The sequence below is a fragment of the Homo sapiens genome, chromosome 11, assembly GCF_000001405.40.
Source record: "Homo sapiens chromosome 11, GRCh38.p14 Primary Assembly".
Lineage (NCBI taxonomy): Eukaryota > Metazoa > Chordata > Mammalia > Primates > Hominidae > Homo > Homo sapiens.
Genome location: NC_000011.10, coordinates 63,654,353 through 63,672,522, shown reverse-complemented (window position 1 = coordinate 63,672,522; position 18,170 = coordinate 63,654,353). Strand labels below are relative to the sequence as shown.

The window sequence follows — 18,170 nt, the reverse complement described above, 5'->3', positions numbered from 1 at the left end:
TGCTGGGATTACAGGCGTGAGCCACCGCGCCTGGCCAAGTGGTATGAAGTCTTTTGGAGAAAAGTAATGCAGGGAAAAGGAGCAGAGAATGCTGGGATGTGCGTGCAAGTTTTTTTTTTTTTTTTTTGATGGAGTTTTGCTCCTGTTGCCTACGCTGGTGTGCAATGGTGCGATCTCGGCTCACTGCAACCTCCGCCTCCTGGGTTCAAGCGATTCTCCTGTTCAGCCTCTGGACTAGCTGGGATTACAAGCGTGCGCCACTACGCCTGGCTAATTTCGTATTTTTAGTAGAGACGGGGATTCTCCATGTTGGTCAGGCTGGTCTCGAACGCCCACGACCTCAGGTGATCCACCCGCCTCGGCCTCCCAAAGTGCTGGGATTACAGGCGTGAGGCACGGCGCCCGGCCTGGACTTCTTACATTAGCTATCAGAGCGGTGATGGTGCGCATCAGCCATGGCCAGGGACAGGAATATAGGGAGATGATAATAAAGGTGGTAATGAAGTCACGGCCACCTGCCCTTATGAAGTCAAAATCATTAAAGACCCAGTGACGTTCATGCCATCCAGGGTTGAGGCCTCTCTTCTGCCCACCTGTGGTCCCAGGCCTAGTTAAACACCAAAGCTGTCTCTCACACTGGTGGTTCCAGGATAAAGCCTCGGCCTGGGGCCTGGTCTGCACGTTAGGCGCCGGCCGCAGCTCGCAGGAGGACCCGAGCCAGCCCGCCCCTTCCCGCACAGCCTGCTGGGAGTTGTAGTTCAGTCGTCGGAGAACCACGCCAAGCCCCGCCCCAGATGAGTGCGCAGTATGAGGACCGCTGGCCGGGACCCAGTGAGCGCGGGACTACAATTCCCAAAGGACGGTAGCACTCAGCGCCCCGCCAACAGGTACCCGGCGGCTCGCTTCGCGCACACGCGGCAGGCGGTGGCGGGATTCTGCCGCGTGCGCTTTCCCGCCCCGCCTCGCCTAGCCTCGTCCTGCGCTCGCCACGCCTCGGGCTGTCCGTTGGGCCACGCAGACCGCGCTGCGCTCGCTCCGTCGCGGCTCCGCGTGCCCCACCTTCTGGCTAGTTTTTTCTAGAGCCCAGGCTCCGCCCGTTTCCCGCTTCCAGGGCCCGGTTCGTTCCCGCCCGCACCCGTCCCTCTCCTCTGCACCCCTGCTGCTTCTGCTTTGAAGGCGGAGGCTCCATGTTGTCCCCTCAGCGAGTGGCAGCAGCTGCCTCAAGAGGAGCAGGTGAGGCGCCGATTTTCCCTGGATCGCCCCGCGGCCACCCCCGCCGCCTTCCCTGCTGTAGTTCTGAAAAGAACCCCCGCCCGCGCCGCCGCCCTTCCTCGTCCCGGGGCTGGGACCGCGCGTCCCTCGCCGGGGTCACTCGGTTTCCGAATTTGTGGTGGGGGGGCCCCTCTTCGGGCCCAGCTGGTCCAGCGAGGGCGGCACCTTCCTTACTTTTCGGCCGGGGGCGGCCGCCGTCAGGGCTCGGGCCCTGGTGCCGCCGGGGGCTCCTCCAGCTCCTCCCCTGGGCTGCAGCTGCCCCTGGGCGGCCCAAGGGCCGGTGGTCCCCGTGGGCGGCGTCCGGAGCTTCGGCCCCGCCGAGCCCCGCCCTGGGCAGAGCCGGGCGCCCCAGGGCGCTGCCCCTCCGTGCCCGGGCACTCAGCGCCCTCTCTGGTCGGAGAATCGGGGCCTGGATGGAGCGGGAAGGTGAATGCTGGTTTATTTGGCCTTTCTGGAAGTGCTGGAAGGCTGCGAAGTGTCTTGGAAGCTTTATTTTTATCCTAACGACCTTGAGGCACTGACCACAAGTATTAGGAAAGTTGGTTTTCAACCCATACTTAACGCTGTAAAGAATTGGTCTAAATTGGTTTTTCGTAAGTTAGTGCTTTTGGCACAGTACGTTGTTCTTTTGCTTTCCCGAAGACATGAAACATAGTGAAAGTATTAAAAACCAAATAAGGAGTCACCGTGTATTCACGGATCTGATTTAGTCTGTCATTTTACTTGGCTTTATTCTAGTGTAATGTGTGTGCTGTTGAAATGACCGTTTCACTTGCGAAATCGAAGAGCAAAAAGGAAAAGAACAGTGAAGAATTTTTAAATGAGTCTCAGTTCTCAAATTCAAATACGAAGCAATGGAACGTTTTGTCAGTCTTAGAATAACGGACCAAAAATGTACGATTTCACATATTGGCTTACTTTTGGAGATTTAAGAAGCATAACCTACGGAGTACTAATCCCTGTCAAGAATTTAGCATTGCAACATAGGTACTGAAATTCAAATTAGTGCTTTTTTTTTTCCATTCCCACAGAGATTAGCTTGTACTCCAGAAATTCCTGTTGCCGCTCTAACACCTGTAAACACTTGGCTGAGAAGGATCTCAGTATTGCAGTAGTCCAGCACATTGTTTTATTATTATTTTTTGAGACGGAGTTTTGCTCTGGTCACCCAGGCTGGAGTGCAATGGCGCGATCTCGGCTGATTGCAACCTCCGCTTCCTGGGTTCAAGCAATTCTTCTGCCTCATCCTCCCGGGTAGCTGGGATTACAGGCGCTCTCCACCATGCGCGGCTATTTTTTTTTGAGACGGAGTTTCGTTTTTGCTACCTAAACTGGAGTACAGTGGCGCAGTCTCGGCTCACTGCACCCTCCGCCTCCTGGGTTCAAATGATTCTCCTGCGTCAGCCTCCCGAGTAGCTGGGATTATAGACATCCGCCACCAGGCCCAGCTAATTTTTTGTATTTTTAGTAGAAACGGGGTTTCACCACGTTGGCCAGGCTGGTCTCGAACTCCTGACCTCAGGTGAACCACCCTCCTCTCCTCGGCCTCCCAAGTACTGGGATTACAGGCGTGAGCCATCGTGCCCGGCCCATTATTGTATTAGCTACAGTTTACTACCTCATTGTAGTAGAATTCATGAAATAGAAGTAACGGGATAGATGTGGTGTTGTGTACTAGCTTAATTTTCTTTTTCTTTTCTTTTTTTTTCTTCTGGTGAGAAGGAGTCTTGCTCTCTCGCCCAGGGTGGAGTGCAATGGCGCGATCTCTGCTCACTGCAACCTCCGCCTCCCAGGTTCAAGCGATTCTCCTGCCGCAGCCTCCCAGGTAGCTGGGATTACAGGCGCCCTCCACCGCGCCTGGGTAATTTTTGTATTTTTAGTAGAGACGGGGTTTCACCATGTTTGCCAGGCTGATCTTGAACTCCTGACCTCAGGTGATCCTCCTAGCTCGGCCTCCCAAAGTGCTGGGATTGCAGGTGTGAGCCACGGCGCCTGGCCCAGTTGCGTGGTATTTCGATTGTCAGAACACCTTAGATATATTTCACAGCTGAAGTATGTTAACAGATTAGAAGACAGGCTTTCCTGGTATAGTAGGCGCTAATTAGGAAATCCTTACTTGGCCGGGAGCTGTGGTTTACTCCTGTAATCCCAGCATTTTGGGAGGCTGAGGCAGGTGGATCACCTGAGGTCAGGAGTTCAAGACCAGCCTGGCCAACATGGTGAGACGCCCCCCCCCACCCAAAAAAAAATTAAAAAAAAGTTAGCCAACGTGGTGTTGCAGGCCTGTAGTTCTGGCTACTCAGGAGGCTGAGGTGAGAGGATGGAGTGAGCCCAGGAAGTTGGCTGCAGTGAGCCTTTTTTTTTTTCTTTTTTCTGCAGTGAGCCTTGTTCTTGCCACTGCACTCCAGCCTAGGCAACAGAGTGAGACCTTGTCTCAAAAAAAAAAAAAAAAAAAAAAAAGGAACACAGCTAATTCAAACCTTTGGTGGCATTCTTATTCTTAGGAAAGAGATACAAAAGTGTTACTGAGCTCATTCCATTAAAAAGGTTTTTTTCCTCCACTTGTGATATAGCCTGGCATCATTTTCAGATTCAGCCCTCTCCTTGGATTTTCTGAATCTTCAGTACCATTTAGTCATAGATAATTTTTGTAAACCTATGAAGCATTACACAATCCTTAGTCAACAACAAAAAATATGGTTTTGTTCAGCCTTCTGTGCTATGGCGAAAAGATTTTCTACAACAGACAAATATAAAATTTGCCCAGTATTCTGGTTAATTAGATTTAAATAGTATTTTCACTGAAACAGCCTTAAGCGTATTGCAGTGTATCTACTGGCACAATCACTGCCTTAAGACAAAACGGTATATAAAAGCACCCACCCCTCCACCACCAGAAGGAACCACACCCAGCAGTTCTAGAGTTGGCTAAGGTCTTAGTATACTTACTCTTGCCTGTGATGATGTTTTCTCTGGCTTTGTCAGTTAGAAACCTTAAAGACTGCCAGCAAGAACAAGGCATGAAAATGGTATGCCTCTGTTTTGGGTGTGTTGCTCTTGCCCTTTGGAGAATATGATATTTTATAAGGAGACTGGAAAACTCAGGTCATAACTTTACCCTGAGTCATACATGAATCTACTCAGCAAAGTGTTTCTGTGACTGGTTGGTTACTTTGTATTCAGAACTCTTTGAATGGTAAGGATAAACACCAAGGCTGACTCTACTCAGTGGTTCTTAACCTATGGTAATATTGCCTCTTCCTGCCCCTGGAGCATTTAGCAATGACTGGAGACGTTTTTTGGGTGTTAGAACCTGTTGTGGGGAGTGTTACTGGTATCTAGTGGGTAGAGGCCAGGGATGCTGCTCAATAGCCTGTAGTGCGTAGGATAGCCCCCCACAACAGTTGTGCAGCTCCAATGTCAATATGTCAGTAGTGCTGAGGTTGAGAAACCCTAGTCTACACTGTCATTTTTTTTTTTTTTTTTTGATACAGAGTCTCGCTCTGTCACCCAGGCTGGAGTGCAATGGCGCGATCTCAGCTCACTGCAGCCTCCATCTCCCAAGTTCAAGTGATTCTCCTGCTTCAGCCTCCCGAGTAGCTGGGACTGCAGTCATGCACCACCACGCCTGGCCAATTTTTTTGAATTTTCAGTAGAGTCAGGGTTCCACTATATCGGTCAGGCTGGTCTCAAACTCTTGGCTGCAAATGATCCATCCGCCTTGGCCTCCCAAAGTGGTGGGATTACAGGCGTGAGCCATTGCACCCGGCCCACTTCTCAGGAATCCTAAACTCTTGGGAGGCTGAGGTGGGAGAATCACTTGAACCTGGGAGGTGGAGGTTGCAGTGAGCAGGAATGACGCCACTGCTCACCAGCCTGGGCGACAGAGCAAGAATCTGTCTCAAAAAAAAAAAAATGCTTTCTAATTATACAAAGATTTTCAACATTTTCTACATACTTGAACTGATGAGTGATAGAATATTATCATGAGCTATTTACAGCAATGAAGTAGTCCCCATTATCTGAGGGGCATATATTGTAAGGCCCCCAGTGGATGCCTGAAACTGCTGATAGCACTGAGCCCTGTATACACTACGTTGATCAGTGAGAAGGCTACTAAATAACTAATGGGCATGGTAGCATATACAGTGTGGATACTCTGGAAAAGGGAATGATTCATGTCCCAGGCAGGATAGCACAAGATTTCATCATGGTACTAAGAACTGCGTTGCAATCTTAAGACTTACGAATTGTTTATTTCTGGAATTTTAAACATATGTTGTAAATTCACATAAATACATATGAATGATAGATGTAACAGTGGTCCAGCTGTAGCTTTGTGTCTGTGCAAAAACATCACGTTATCCATATTCATGTAAGTAATGTAATACAGCATTAACTGTTGTTGCAGTATGCAGAATTAGACCTTGGAAAATAATTGCTTCTCTAAAGGGACAAGGCATGTAAAGTTGCCACTTACAGATATTTTTAGTACCCTCCCCGGAGACTAGATCTCCAGAGTTTAAGATTCCTGACAAGTGGACCGGGCACGGTGGCTCATGCCTGTAATCCCAGCACTTTGAGAGTCTGAGGTGGATAGATCACTTGATCGCACGGTGTGCGATCCACCCCCCTCGGCCTCCCAAAGTGCTGGGATTACATGCATGAGCCACCACACCCAGTTAGCACTTGACCCATTTTAGTGATGAAACTGAAAACTAGACATGCCCAGGATCACACAGGTTGTTAGTGGCAGGGCTGGAACAGGAACTTGTGTTTTGAGTCCTAAATTTGTATATTTCCACAGGTTACTTCTGAGAGTAAGCAGGTGAATCTGTCCCTTAGGCAGTTGTACATTTAGACTAAATGCAAGTTAGAGATCTGTGAAGTTGTATCATCCAAATAGAGGGTAGGCCGGGCGCGGTGGCTCACGCCTGTAATCCCAGTACTTGGGGAGGCTGAGGCGGGTGGATCACCTGAGGTCAGGAGTTCGAGACCAGCCTGGCCAAGGTGGTGAAACGCCACCTCTACTAAAAATACAAAAATTAGGCGTGGTGGTGGGTACCTGTAATCCCAGCTACTTAGGAGGCTGAGGCAGGAGAATTGCTTGAACCCAGGAGGCAGAGGTTGCAGTGAGATGATACTGGGAGGCTGAGGTGGGAGGATTGCCTGAGCCCGGTAGGTTGAGGCTGCAGTGAACCATGATTGCACCACCGCACCTCTAGCCTGTGCAACAGAGTGAGACCCAGTCTTAAAAAAGGTGTAATATATAAGCAGCTCCATTTAACTTGCATTATTGGTGTGTACAGCTCAAAATAATTCTTCCCTTACATAAGCCCAAACCCAAGGATCACTGTCAGTGAACAACATCTTTTTTTTTTTTTGAGACAGGGTCTTGCTCTGTTGTCCTGATTGTAGTGCAGTGGTTGACTTACTGCAACCTCTGCCTCCCAGGTTCAAGTGATACCAAGTAGCTGGGATTACAGGCGCGTTACCACCAAGCCTGGTTAATTTTCATATTTTTAGTAGAGATGGGGTTTCGCCGTGTTGCCCAGGCTGGTCTCGAACTCCTGATCTCAGGTGATCTGCCTGCCTCAACCTCCCAAAAGTGCTAGGATTATAGGCGAGACCTCCCATGCCTGGCCAACAAGATCTTTTTTAATCTGGTGGGTGTTGATAATCATGCTTATATTACTGGTGTGAAGAGAAATGCAGAATCACCCCAGCTCTTCCAACTAAACAGAGCCTGGTTCCCTTCCTTTATTCTTGGGTACCGTGCTACAGGGAGAGGAAGAGATGAGTAAGGACTTTTCCCCCATAGCTGTCCTCAGTAGTCTTCAGCTTCTCTTGAAGTGCAGTTCACTGTACACAACTGTATACATTCTTCTTTTTTTTTTTTTTTTTTGAGATGGAGTCTCACTCTGTCACCCAGGCTGGAGTGCAATGGCTTAATCTCAGCTCACCGCAACCTCCGCCTCCCGGGGTTCAAGCGATTCTCCTGCCTCAGCCTCCCGAGTAGCTGGGATTACAGGCATGTGCCACCACGCCCAGCTAATTTTGTATTTTTAGTAGAGACAGAGTTTCTCCATGTTGGTCAGGGTGGTCTTGAACTCCTGACTTCAGGTGATCCACCCACCTTGGCCTTCCAGTGTTGGGATTGACAGGCATGAGCCCCCATGCCCAGTCTCAACTGTATACATTCTTATCATTGGATTACCCCATCTTGTAACCACGTAACTTTATCTTCCATGTCTACTGCTCTGACAATGCCACTTGGATCCTTTGGGTTGTAGCCTTCAACCACATTATGGTACATGTCATTCATTCATTTTACAATAGTTTATTGGCCGGGTGCGGTGGCTCACGCCTGTAATCCCAGCACTTTGGGAGGCTGAGGCAGGTGGATCACAGGGTTAGGAGTTCGAGACCAGCCTGGCCAATATGGTGAAACCTTCTATCTACTAAAAATACAAAAATTAGCCGGGCATGGAGGTGCATGCCTGTGGTCCCAGCTGCTCGGGAGTCGCTTGAACCCGGGAGGCGGAGGTTGCGCTGAGCCAAGATCGCGCCACTGCACTCCAGCCTGGGCAACAGAGCGAGACTCCGTCTCAAAAAAAAAAAACAAAAAAACAATAGCTTATTGTATGTGCTGTGTGTCATTACATTGATATTGCTCATTACATTCACATTGCTCAGTACGCTTTTTTTTAAAAGACAGAGTTTCGCTCTGTTGCCCAGGCTAGAGTGCAGTGGCGCAATGTTGGCTCACAGCAACCTCTGCCTCCCGGGTTCAAGCGATTCTCCTGCTTCAGTCTCCCGAGTAGCTGGGATTACGGGTGCCTACCACCACGCCCAGCTAATTTTTTATATTTTTGGTAGAGATGGGGTTTCACCATGTTGGCCAGGGTGGTCTCGAACTCCTGACCTCAAGTGACCTGCCTGCCTCGGCCTCCCAAGGTGCTGGGATTACAGGCATGGGCCACCGAGGCTGGCCTCGCTCAGTAAACTTTTAATAGTGAAATAGATAAAACAAAAAGATCTGGTATGATGAACTTAATTGTAAAGTCCTGGAAGACTGTTGTGTTGGCTGCTAGGCTTGGCTGTATTTGATGGAGCCTCCAAATAAGTGATTTAAGCAAGGTAGACATTTATTTTTCTTTCACACAGAAGTGAACCAATATGGCAGTTCTGCTATACGAAATCTGACCTCTCTTGTTTCTCCAGCATTCCTGGGGTGTTGCCCTCATATGCCTGGCCCAAGATGATTCACTCCCACTTTTACATCTAGCCAGCAAGCAGGGGGAAAATGCCTGATCTGGAAGTTGTGTCTGTTATTTCCAGTCACTTCCCATTGTTCAGAATTTAGTCACCTGGTCATATCCTAGCTATAAATTTGGGTTGGAAATGTGTTTCTTCTGGGCAGTTGTATGCCCAGCTAAAAATCTATTATATAGCAGGAGGGAGAAATTAATATTGGGGGAACAACCAGACATCTCTGCCACAATCAAGACTTTGTTTTGTATTTCTTTGAGTGCTACACAGTACTTAACACTGTGGCTTATCCCTGAAGTCTGAATAAATTCTTCTCATTAGTTCTTTGTATGAAAGACTGAAGGTCTTTGGATCTTGGATTTACCTGCTGCTGGGGCAATAAGAACCCTAAGAGATTATTCACAGAAGTGTTTCCTTTTTAATCCAGGCAATAACAGGAAAGAAAAGTATTAGTATACATTGATTACAATGATAGCATGACATTTAACCTATATTTATAACTTGTTTTCCAATAGTCTGCAAAAACTTAAAAAGTAGGAAGAAGCCAGCCACAGTGGCTATCATCCACATTCACAGTGGCCTATCATCCCAGCATTCTGGGAGGCTGAGGTGAGAGGATCACTAGAGCCCAGGAGTTTGAGACTAATGTGGGCCACATAATGAGACCCCCATCTCTACAAAAAAATTAAAAAATTAGCCAGGCATGGTGGCACACACCTGTACTGCCAGCTACTCTGGTGGCTGAGGTGGGAGGATTGCTTGAACCCAGGAGTTTGAGGCTGCAGTAAGCTAGGATTGCACCACTGCATTCCAGCCTGTGTGCCAGAGCAAAATACTGTCTCCAAAAAAAAAAAAAGTGCGAAGAACCCTTCTGTTGCTATCTGATACTATAAATGTAAAAAGTGAGCAGCAATTCCAGTAGCTTGAAGGGGAGAGAGTCTTGCAGTCAAACTGTTTTGTCTGCTTTGCCTGCCATGATCGTGTAGCCTTCAGTGCTGGTTAGACAAAGTCATTTTGGAACCATCTTTGTGATTTTGGCCATGTCTGCCTGTCAGTACTAAGCTTTACTTACTATGTCTCCTTAAGTCTACTTTAAATGGACTTCTTGGCTGGGTACTGTGTCGCTGTGATTTTGGCCATGTCTGCCTGTCAGTACTAAGCTTTACTTAATATGTCTCCTTAAGTCGACTTTAAATTGACTTCTTGGCTGGGTACGGTGTCGCTGTAATCCCAACACTTTGGGAGGTTGAGACGAGTGGATCATTTGAGCTCAGGAGTTCAAGACGGGCCTGGGCAACATGGTGAAACACTGTCTCTCCAAAAATACAAAAATTAGCTGGGTGTGGTGATGAATGCCTGTAGTCCCAGCTACTTGGGAGGCTGAGGTGGGAGGATGACTTGGGCCGGAGAGGCAGAGGTTGCAGTGAGGCAAGATTGTGCCATTGCACTCCAGCCTGAGTTATAGAGCCAGACCTTGTCTTAAATAAATAAACAGACTTCTTAAACTTAGCATCCTTCTAAAGAATAATTTATCAAAATACAGATTTGTTGTTTTAAAGTATACATTAACATGCATAATTATTAAAATTACTATGTCCTTTTAACTACCTAAAAACATCTTTAATACCAGTGACACATACTCTTAGGGAAATAGTTCTTTATTCATTCCTTACGCCCCACTGGTAGTTTTTTGTGAACTTCCCATAAGTCCACAGCTACTAAGTGGCTCTGAATTTCTTTCTTTCTTTCTTTTTTTTTTTTTTTTTGAGATAGAGTCTTGCTCTGAAATCTAGGCTGGAGTGCAGTGGCACGGTCTTGGCTCACTGCAGCCTCCACCGTGCAGGTTCAAGTAATTCTCCTGCCTCAGCCTCTGGAGTAGCTGGGATTACAGGCACCCACCACCACGCCCGGCTAATTTTTGTATTTTTAGTAGAGATGGAGTTTCACCATGTTGGACCAGGGTGGTCTCGAACTCCTGACCTCAGGTGACACGCCTGCCTTGGCCCCCAAAGTGCTGGGATTACAGGTGTGAGCCACCATGTCTAGCCTGAATGAATTTCCTTCTTGCTTTCTTTTCACTTTTTTTTTTTGAGACGGAGTGTCACTCTTTTGCCCAGGCTGGAGTGCAGTGGTGCAATCTCAGCTCACCACAACCTCCACCTACTGGGTTCAAGCGATTCTCCTGCCTCAGCCTCCTAAGTAGCTGGGATTACAAGCACGTGCCACCACACCGGGCTAATTTTGTATTTTTAGTAGAGATGGGGTTTCTCCATGTTGGTCAGGCTGGTCTGGAACTCACAACCTCAGGTGATCTGCCCGCCTCGGCCTCCCAAAGTGCTGGGATTGCGCAGGTGAGCCAGCACGCCCGGCCCCTTGCCTTCTCTTCTCTTCTCTTCTCTTTAAGACAGTCTCTCGCTATATTGGCCAAGTTGGTCTTGAACTCCTGGCCTCAAGCAATCCTGCCATCTCAGCTTCTCTAAGTGCTAGGATTACAGGCGTGGATGCTGTGCCTGGCCTGAATTTCAAATTAATTAGTTATCTTTGTGCTTTGGTAGGGAAACTCTGGTAAGGAAAGTATAATATAGTTAGTGCTTAATTTTGAACTATAGAATTAATAGCTTCTAAAACTTTTTGAGTTATTACTAGTGATATGCAAAATACAACCACCTAAAGATCTTTTTGAGCTTATATCTAGGACCTGTTGGGCAATATGCTGAACCTTCATAAGCCTTCATTTCCTTCTTTTTTTTTTTTTTTGAGACCAAGTCTCACTCTGCCACCCAGGCTGGAGTGCAGTGGCGCGATCACGGCTCACTGCAGCTTCTGCCTCCCGGTTCAAGCAATTCTTCTCCCTCAGCCTCTTCAGTAGCTGGGACCACAGGCGTGCGACACCACGCATGGCTAATTTTTTTTTTTTTCTGTATTTTTATAGAGACGGGGCTTTACCATGTTGGCCAGGCTGGTTTTGAACTCCTGACCTCAAGTGATCAGCTTGCCTTGGCCTCCCAAAGTGCTGAGATTGTAAATGTGAGCCACTGAGCCTGGCCATTTCCTTCTTCTTAAAATGGAGCAGTATTATTTACATCAAAGAGTTGTTCTGAGGATTAAATAATATATATATATGTGTATATATATATCTAAATAAAGCTTAGCAGTGGCAAACACTATTATTGATAGACATTGTTTTATTTCCACTTTTGGACTGTTTTGAGTAAAGCTGATAATGAACTTTCTGTTTTTGAGATAGAGTCTTGCAATATTGTCCAGGTTGGTCTTGAACTCCTGGGCCCAAGTAATCCTCCTGCCTCAGCTCTCCAAGTAGCTGGGACTATATGTGCGAGCCACCATGCCCAGCTCAACATTCTTGTATATATGTTTTTTGGTGGACATAGGCATTCATTTCTCTTAGGTGTATACCTAGGAGTAGAATTGCTGGATCACAGATATATTTAATTTTTGTAGATACAGCCAAACAGTTTTTTGAAGTGGCTTTAGTATTTTGTGCTCCTATCAGAATGTGTGAGAATTGCGGTTGCTTCATACCCTGTCCCACAGTTGATATTGTCAGTCTTTAAATTTTAGCCATTCTGATGGGCAGGTAGTGGTATCTTATTGTGGTTTTAATTTAGATTTCCCTGTTAAGTAATGATATGGAAGTACCTTTTAATAGGATTTGTATATCTTTTTCTTACAAAGTGCCTGTTATTTTTTTCTTATGGATTGCTATGTTGATGCTGGATGTGGGTCCTTTGGAAACAGATATTGTGAATACTCTTCCCTAGCCCATGGCTTGCATTTTTACTTATTGAAGTCTTTAAGTGAACAAAGTTTTTAATTTTAATGAAGTCTGTGTTGTCATTTTATTTTCTTTTATGGATAGTACTTTTTTTCTTTGAGACAGGGTCTTTTTTTTTTTAACAACATTTTATTTTATTTATTTTTTATTATTATTATACTTTAAGTTTTAGGGTACATGTGCACAATGTGCAGGTTAGTTACATATGTATACATGTTCCATGCTGGTGTGCTGCACCCATTAACTTGAGACAGGGTCTTATCTGTCACCCAGGTGGGAGTGCAATGGCATGATCTCGGCTCACTGCAACCTCTGCCTCCCAGTTTCAAGTTATTCTCGTGCCTCAGCCTCCCGAGTAGCTAGGACTTACAGGTGCGTGCCACCACACCCAGCTAATTTTTGTATTTGTTGGTAGAGATGGGGTTTCGTCATGTTGGCCAGGCTGGTCTTGAACTCCTGACCTCAAGTGATCCACCCACCTCGGCTTCCCAAAGTGCTGGGATTACAGGGGCGAACCACTGTGCCCTGCCCTTTTATGGTTAGTATTTTTGTGTCCGTTTTTTGTTTTGTTTAGTTTTGTCACCCAGGTTGGAGTACAGTGGTGTGGTCATAGCTCACTGTAACCTCAAACCCCTGGGCTCAAGCAGTCTTCCTGCCTCAGCCTCCCAAGTAGCTAGGACTACAGGTATACACCACTACATATGGCTAATTTTTTAAATTTCATAGCGCTGGGTTTCACCGTTTCCCAGGCTAGTCTGAAACTCCTGGCCTCAAGTAATCTTTCTGCTTTGGTTTCCCAAAGTGCTGTGATTATAGGCATGAGCCATTGAGCCTGGCCCTGTCCCCTGTTTAAGAAGTTTTTGTTTTCCCTATATTCAAAAACATATTTTAAATATTTGACACTGATTTTTTTTCTCTGCATGAACATAGATGATGCCATGGAGAGCAGCAAGCCTGGTCCAGTGCAGGTTGTTTTGGTTCAGAAAGATCAACATTCCTTTGAGCTAGATGAGAAAGCCTTGGCCAGCATCCTCTTGCAGGACCACATCCGAGATCTTGATGTGGTGGTGGTTTCAGTGGCTGGTGCCTTCCGAAAGGGCAAGTCCTTCATTCTGGATTTTATGCTACGATACTTATATTCTCAGGTAAGATAGAATTATTTTATTTCAAGTAAAAAGTGAGACTTTAATGTCCAAAAAAGCGAAATAAGCTCATAGATTATCCTTGATGCATAAAATTTTTAATTTAAGATTTAATAGAAATTTCTTACTTCTGTAGAAGGAAAGTGGCCATTCAAATTGGTTGGGTGACCCAGAAGAACCGTTAACAGGATTTTCCTGGAGAGGGGGATCTGATCCAGAAACCACTGGGATTCAAATCTGGAGTGAAGTTTTCACTGTGGAGAAGCCAGGTGGGAAGAAGGTAAGGATGAAAATGACCTTACAGATTAACAACAACAACAACAAAATATGAACTTCAGCATGTACTGTGTTAACCCAATTAAAAACCTTTTATCAAAGAATTTAAAATGGGTAAAGTAAGAAAAGTTAAAAAGTCCCTGTTTTGTCCTGAAATTTTAGTCTGTTGTGGATAAATAGGATTTTCTGACACAGGTATGCGAAGTTGTAGCTCTGATGTCTAGCTGTAGTCTCCTTGGTCTGCTGATTGCATTATTTTAATTTTCTTTTCTGGAAAAACATTTTTGCTAAAAGCTATACAGACTTTTTTGTTTGTACCTAGCAGTACTTTATGTAGTATTCCTTAGGGCTATGTAGCATTTTTAGACTCAGTTAAAAAATATTAATCTGTTGCTGACTCTGTTAATTCCTATTTCAACATGTGTTTCCTTGAATAATTCAGGATACAACTTACTGTGTATGACAGCTTTCCTTCACACACTATTTTTGTGGGTGTGTGTATATCCAACTTGGGGAGAATTTAAAAAACACATAGCTTTTTAATTTGTTTGAAACAGACCTTCTGCCTGTTACATTTTGTGCTCTTAACCAATTAAAGAAGCCAGTGGCAGCCGGGTGCTGTGGCTCACGTCTGTAATACCAACACTTTGGGAGGCCAGGGTGGGCAGATCACAAGGTCAGGAGTTTGAGACCAGCCTGGCCAACATAGTGAAACCCTGTCTCTACTAAAAATACAAAAAATTAGCTGGGTGTGGTGGTGGGTGCCTGTAATCCCAGCTACTTGGGAGGCTGAGGCAGGAGAAACGCTTGAACCCGGGAGGCAGAGGTTGCAGTGAGCCGAGATCACACCACTGTCCTCCAGCTCGGGCGACAGTACGAGACTCCGTCTCAAAAAAAAAAAAAAAAAGCCAATGGCATTTTTAGTTTCATATTGTGTTTTCCACTGGTATATACCTGTTGATTTGTTTGTGTCTTTTATGAACTGTTATTTTCTGAAATTTTTTTTCAATAAAAGGAAGGAAGATGTGAAAACAACTTTTTATCAAAGTGAATGATTTAAAATTAATACATATTGATTGTTTTTAAGATTCTTAAATAAAATGCATGAATATAGTTTAAAAGGTCAGGTACTACTGTAAGGCTTCTAACAGAAAGCAGCTGTCATGTGTGTTATTCTCCTCTCTACCCAGTTTTCACTTCCCAGAGGCTGATGCTCTTATGTGTTACCACTTCTGTTCTTTACTTCCTTACTCCTGTATGGGTGGCACAGACCTGGCTGTTGTTCTGGGAGTTGAGCAGGGAAATGGCATTGGGGATCTCACTGTTCAGAAGGTGGGCATTCACTATCCCCTAGCTATCAGTAGGGCTTCTTAGCCCCAGTCTCATCTATGCCTTGTAAGCTATGGGCATAGAGCCTCTCCACAGATTTCTTTGTAAGGATCGGGAGGGGTAAGTCATGTGTTTCTTATACAGACTTTCATCCATTACTTCTGTTTTTAGCCCAATCCTATAAGCATGCCTTCACACCTGTTTGTCCTTTTTTTTTTTTTTTTTTTGAGATGTAGTCTCACTCTGTTGCCCAGGCTGGAGTGCAGTGGCACCATCTTGGTCACTACAGTCTCCGCCTCCCAGGTTCAAGCAATTCTCCTGCCTCAGCCTCCTCATTAGCTGGGAGTACAGGTGCACACCACCATGCCTGGATAATTTTTGTATTTTTAGTAGAGACAGGGTTTCACAATGTTGGCCAGGCTGGTCTGGAACTCCTGACCTCGTGATCCGCCTGTCTCAGCCTCCCAAAGTGCTGGGATTACAGGGGTGAGCCACCACACCTGGCCACCTTTGATATTTTGAAGTGCTGGAGTGTTGGTACTGAATTCTTTTAGCTTTCATACATCTGAAAAATCTTTATTTTGCCTTTGTTTTGGAAAATATTTACTCTTAGTGTAGAGTTCTAGGCCAACGTATTTTTCTCAGTACTTCAAAGGTGTTGCCCCTTTGCCTTTTTGCTGACATTGTTTCTTTTTTTTTTTTTTGAGAGGGAGTCTCTCTGTTGCTCAGGCTGGAGTGCAGTGGTGCGATCTCGGCTCACTTCAACCTCTGCCTCCCGGGTTCAAGCAATTCTCCTGTCTCAGCCTTCTGAGTAGCTGGGACTACAGGCGCGCACCACCACGCCTGGCTAATTTTTGTATTTTTAGTAGAGACGGGGTTTCGCCATATTGGTCAGGCTGGTCTTGCACTCCTGACCTCAGGTTATTCACCTGCCTCTGTTTCCCAAAGTGCTGGGATTACAAGCATGAGCCACTGTGCCCAGTCTGCTGACATTGTTTCTGACAAGAAATACACTGTTATTCTTATTTTTGTTCTTTTGTACCTAATCTGTCTTTTTTGTCTGGTTGCTTTTTTCTTTAAATTAAAAAAAATTTTATTTTCGTGGGTACATAGGTATATATATTTATAGGGTATGTCTGGTTGCTTTTAAGATTTTATCACTGTTTTTGAGCAAATTATTATGTGTTTTGATGTAGTTCTTTTTTTTTTTTTGAGACGGAGTCTCACTGTGTCGCCCAGGCTGGAGTGCAGTGGCGTGATCTCGGCTCACTGCAAGCTCCGCCTCCCGGGTTCACGCCATTCTCCTGCCTCAGCCTCCCAAGGAGCTGGGACTACAGGCGCCTACCACCACGCCCGGCTAAGTTTTTGTATTTTTAGTAGAGACGGGGTTTCACTGTGTTAGCCAGGATGGTCTCGATCTCCTGACCTCGTGATCTGCCCGCCTTGGCCTCCCAAAGTGCTGGGATTATAGGCGTGAGCCACTGCGCCAGGCTGATGTAGTTCATGTTATTTGTATGTGGGTTTTGTTGAGCTTCTTGAATCTGCAGATTTATAATGTTTATCAAATTTGGACATTTTAAGGTTATTATTTCTTCAAGTTTTTTTGGTCTGTTACTCCCTTTGGAGACTCCTATTACATGTGCCTCTTGCTGCTTGAAGTTGTTCCACAAGATGTTCATTTAAAATTCTTTGGCCGGCGCGGTGGCGCACGTCTGTAATCTCACACTTTGGGAGGCCGAGGTGGGTGGATCACCTGAAGTCAGGAGTTTGAGACTAGCCTGACCAACATGGTGAAAACCCATCTCTACTAAATACAAAAAATTAGCTGGGTGTGATGGGTCATGCCTGTAATCCCAGCTACTTGGGAGGCTGAGGTGGGAGAATCGCTGGAACCCGGGAGGTGGAGGTTGCAGTGAGCCGAGATCGCACCATTGCACTTCCGCCTGGGCAACAAGAGCTAAACTCCATCTAAAAAAAAAAAAAAAGGCCAGATGCGGTGGCTCACGCCTGTATTCCCAGCACTTTGGGAGGCTGGGGTGGGCGGATCACCTGAGGTCAGGAGTTCGAGACCAGCCTGGCCAACATGGTGATGCCCTGTTGCTACTAAAAATACAAACATTAGCTGGGCGTGGTGGCGCCCACCTGTAATCTCAGCTACTTGGGAGGCAGAGGCAGGAGAATTGCTGGAACCTGGGCGGCGGAGATTGCAGTGGGATTAGGAAGAGTACTCAGTCTTGCCTCAGTAATGAGGAATAACAACACTCTGGTTCCATTTAACAAATCTAAACAGCAAGAACAGAAAAAACCAGAGTTTCCAAATTACTTAACTACATCTCAGAATAAAGCTAGATATTTTATAGGAATGCAAAAATAACCAGCACCCAACAAGGGAAAATCCACAAGTCTACATCCTATCAAAAATTTGCAGACATAAAAGAAGCAGAAAAATATAACCCAAATGAGGAGAAAAATCAATCAAAACTGTCTCAGAACTAACACAGATATTAAAATTAACAGAAAACAACTTTTTTTTTTTTTTTTAGACAGTCTTGCTCAACTAAAAATACAAAAATTAGCCGGGTATGGTGGTGTGCACCTGTAATCCCAGCTACTCAGGAGGCTGAGGCAGGAGAATCGCTTGAACCTGGGAGGTGGAGGTTGTGGTGAGCCGAGGTTGCGCCATTGCACTCCAGCCTGGGTGACGAGCAAAACTCTGTCTCAAAAAAAAAAAAAAAATAGGCCAGACATGGTGGCTTAGGCCTGTAATCCCAGCACTTTGGGAGGCCGAGGTGGGTGGATCATCTGAGGTCAGGAGTTCAAGACGAGTCTGACCAACGTGGTGAAACCCTGTCTCTACTAAAAATACAAAAATTAGCCGGGCATGGTGGCTCATGCCTGTAATCCCAGCTACTCGGGAGGCTGAGGCAGGAGAATCGCTTGGACCTGGGAGGTGGAGGTTGCAGTGAGCCAAGATCGTGCCATTGTACTCCAACCTGGGCAACAGAGTGAAACTCCGTAATCCCAGCACTGTGGGAGGCTGAGGCGGGCGGATCATGAGGTCAGGAGATCGAGACCATCCTGGC

General features: G+C 46.0%; 1 protein-coding gene and 1 long non-coding RNA gene across 11 annotated transcripts in view, besides 7 other annotated features; one reads left to right on the top strand and one right to left on the bottom strand.

Moving 5' to 3' along the window:
• The window catches only part of ATL3 (atlastin GTPase 3), a 47,888-nt gene continuing 30,266 nt past the window's right edge, over window positions 549–18,170 (top strand). For 7 of the 10 annotated variants that reach the window (NM_001440722.1, NM_001440721.1, NM_001440719.1 and 4 more), the window contains exons 1-3: window positions 1,147–1,233; window positions 13,271–13,485; window positions 13,619–13,762. In NM_001440722.1, coding sequence (NP_001427651.1) covers window positions 1,188–1,233; window positions 13,271–13,485; window positions 13,619–13,762 — 405 coding nt within the window. In that variant the 5' untranslated portion in view covers window positions 1,147–1,187. Of the gene's footprint in view, window positions 888–1,111; window positions 1,234–13,270; window positions 13,486–13,618; window positions 13,763–18,170 lie in introns of those variants that run through there. The other 3 variants (NM_001440720.1, NM_001290048.2, XM_047426725.1) reach the window with 2 other exon arrangements.
• Window positions 631–740: an enhancer, noted in NCBI's record as "active region_4874". NCBI's record gives its function as "activates an Ori minimal core promoter by ATAC-STARR-seq in GM12878 lymphoblastoid cells {active_cell/tissue: GM12878}" and the evidence as "EXISTENCE:reporter gene assay evidence [ECO:0000049][PMID:35858748]".
• Window positions 781–1,280: an enhancer, noted in NCBI's record as "H3K27ac hESC enhancer chr11:63438715-63439214 (GRCh37/hg19 assembly coordinates)". NCBI's record gives its function as "activates a minimal SCP1, AML or CMV promoter by ChIP-STARR-seq in primed H9 embryonic stem cells {active_cell/tissue: H9 hESC(primed)}" and the evidence as "EXISTENCE:reporter gene assay evidence [ECO:0000049][PMID:30033119]".
• Window positions 831–950: a silencer, noted in NCBI's record as "silent region_3440". NCBI's record gives its function as "represses an Ori minimal core promoter by ATAC-STARR-seq in GM12878 lymphoblastoid cells {active_cell/tissue: GM12878}" and the evidence as "EXISTENCE:reporter gene assay evidence [ECO:0000049][PMID:35858748]".
• Window positions 1,271–1,330: a silencer, noted in NCBI's record as "silent region_3439". NCBI's record gives its function as "represses an Ori minimal core promoter by ATAC-STARR-seq in GM12878 lymphoblastoid cells {active_cell/tissue: GM12878}" and the evidence as "EXISTENCE:reporter gene assay evidence [ECO:0000049][PMID:35858748]".
• Window positions 1,271–1,782: a biological region, named in NCBI's record as "H3K27ac hESC enhancer GRCh37_chr11:63438213-63438714".
• Window positions 1,281–1,782: an enhancer, noted in NCBI's record as "H3K27ac hESC enhancer chr11:63438213-63438714 (GRCh37/hg19 assembly coordinates)". NCBI's record gives its function as "activates a minimal SCP1, AML or CMV promoter by ChIP-STARR-seq in primed H9 embryonic stem cells {active_cell/tissue: H9 hESC(primed)}" and the evidence as "EXISTENCE:reporter gene assay evidence [ECO:0000049][PMID:30033119]".
• Window positions 1,361–1,620: a silencer, noted in NCBI's record as "silent region_3438". NCBI's record gives its function as "represses an Ori minimal core promoter by ATAC-STARR-seq in GM12878 lymphoblastoid cells {active_cell/tissue: GM12878}" and the evidence as "EXISTENCE:reporter gene assay evidence [ECO:0000049][PMID:35858748]".
• Window positions 13,561–18,170, bottom strand: part of LNCROPM (lncRNA regulator of PLAAT3 mediated phospholipid metabolism) — a 42,655-nt gene continuing 38,045 nt past the window's right edge. Inside the window, exon 4 of the long non-coding RNA NR_199012.1 lies at window positions 13,561–13,736. This is a non-coding gene — a long non-coding RNA (lncRNA regulator of PLAAT3 mediated phospholipid metabolism). The remainder of the gene's footprint in view (window positions 13,737–18,170) is intronic.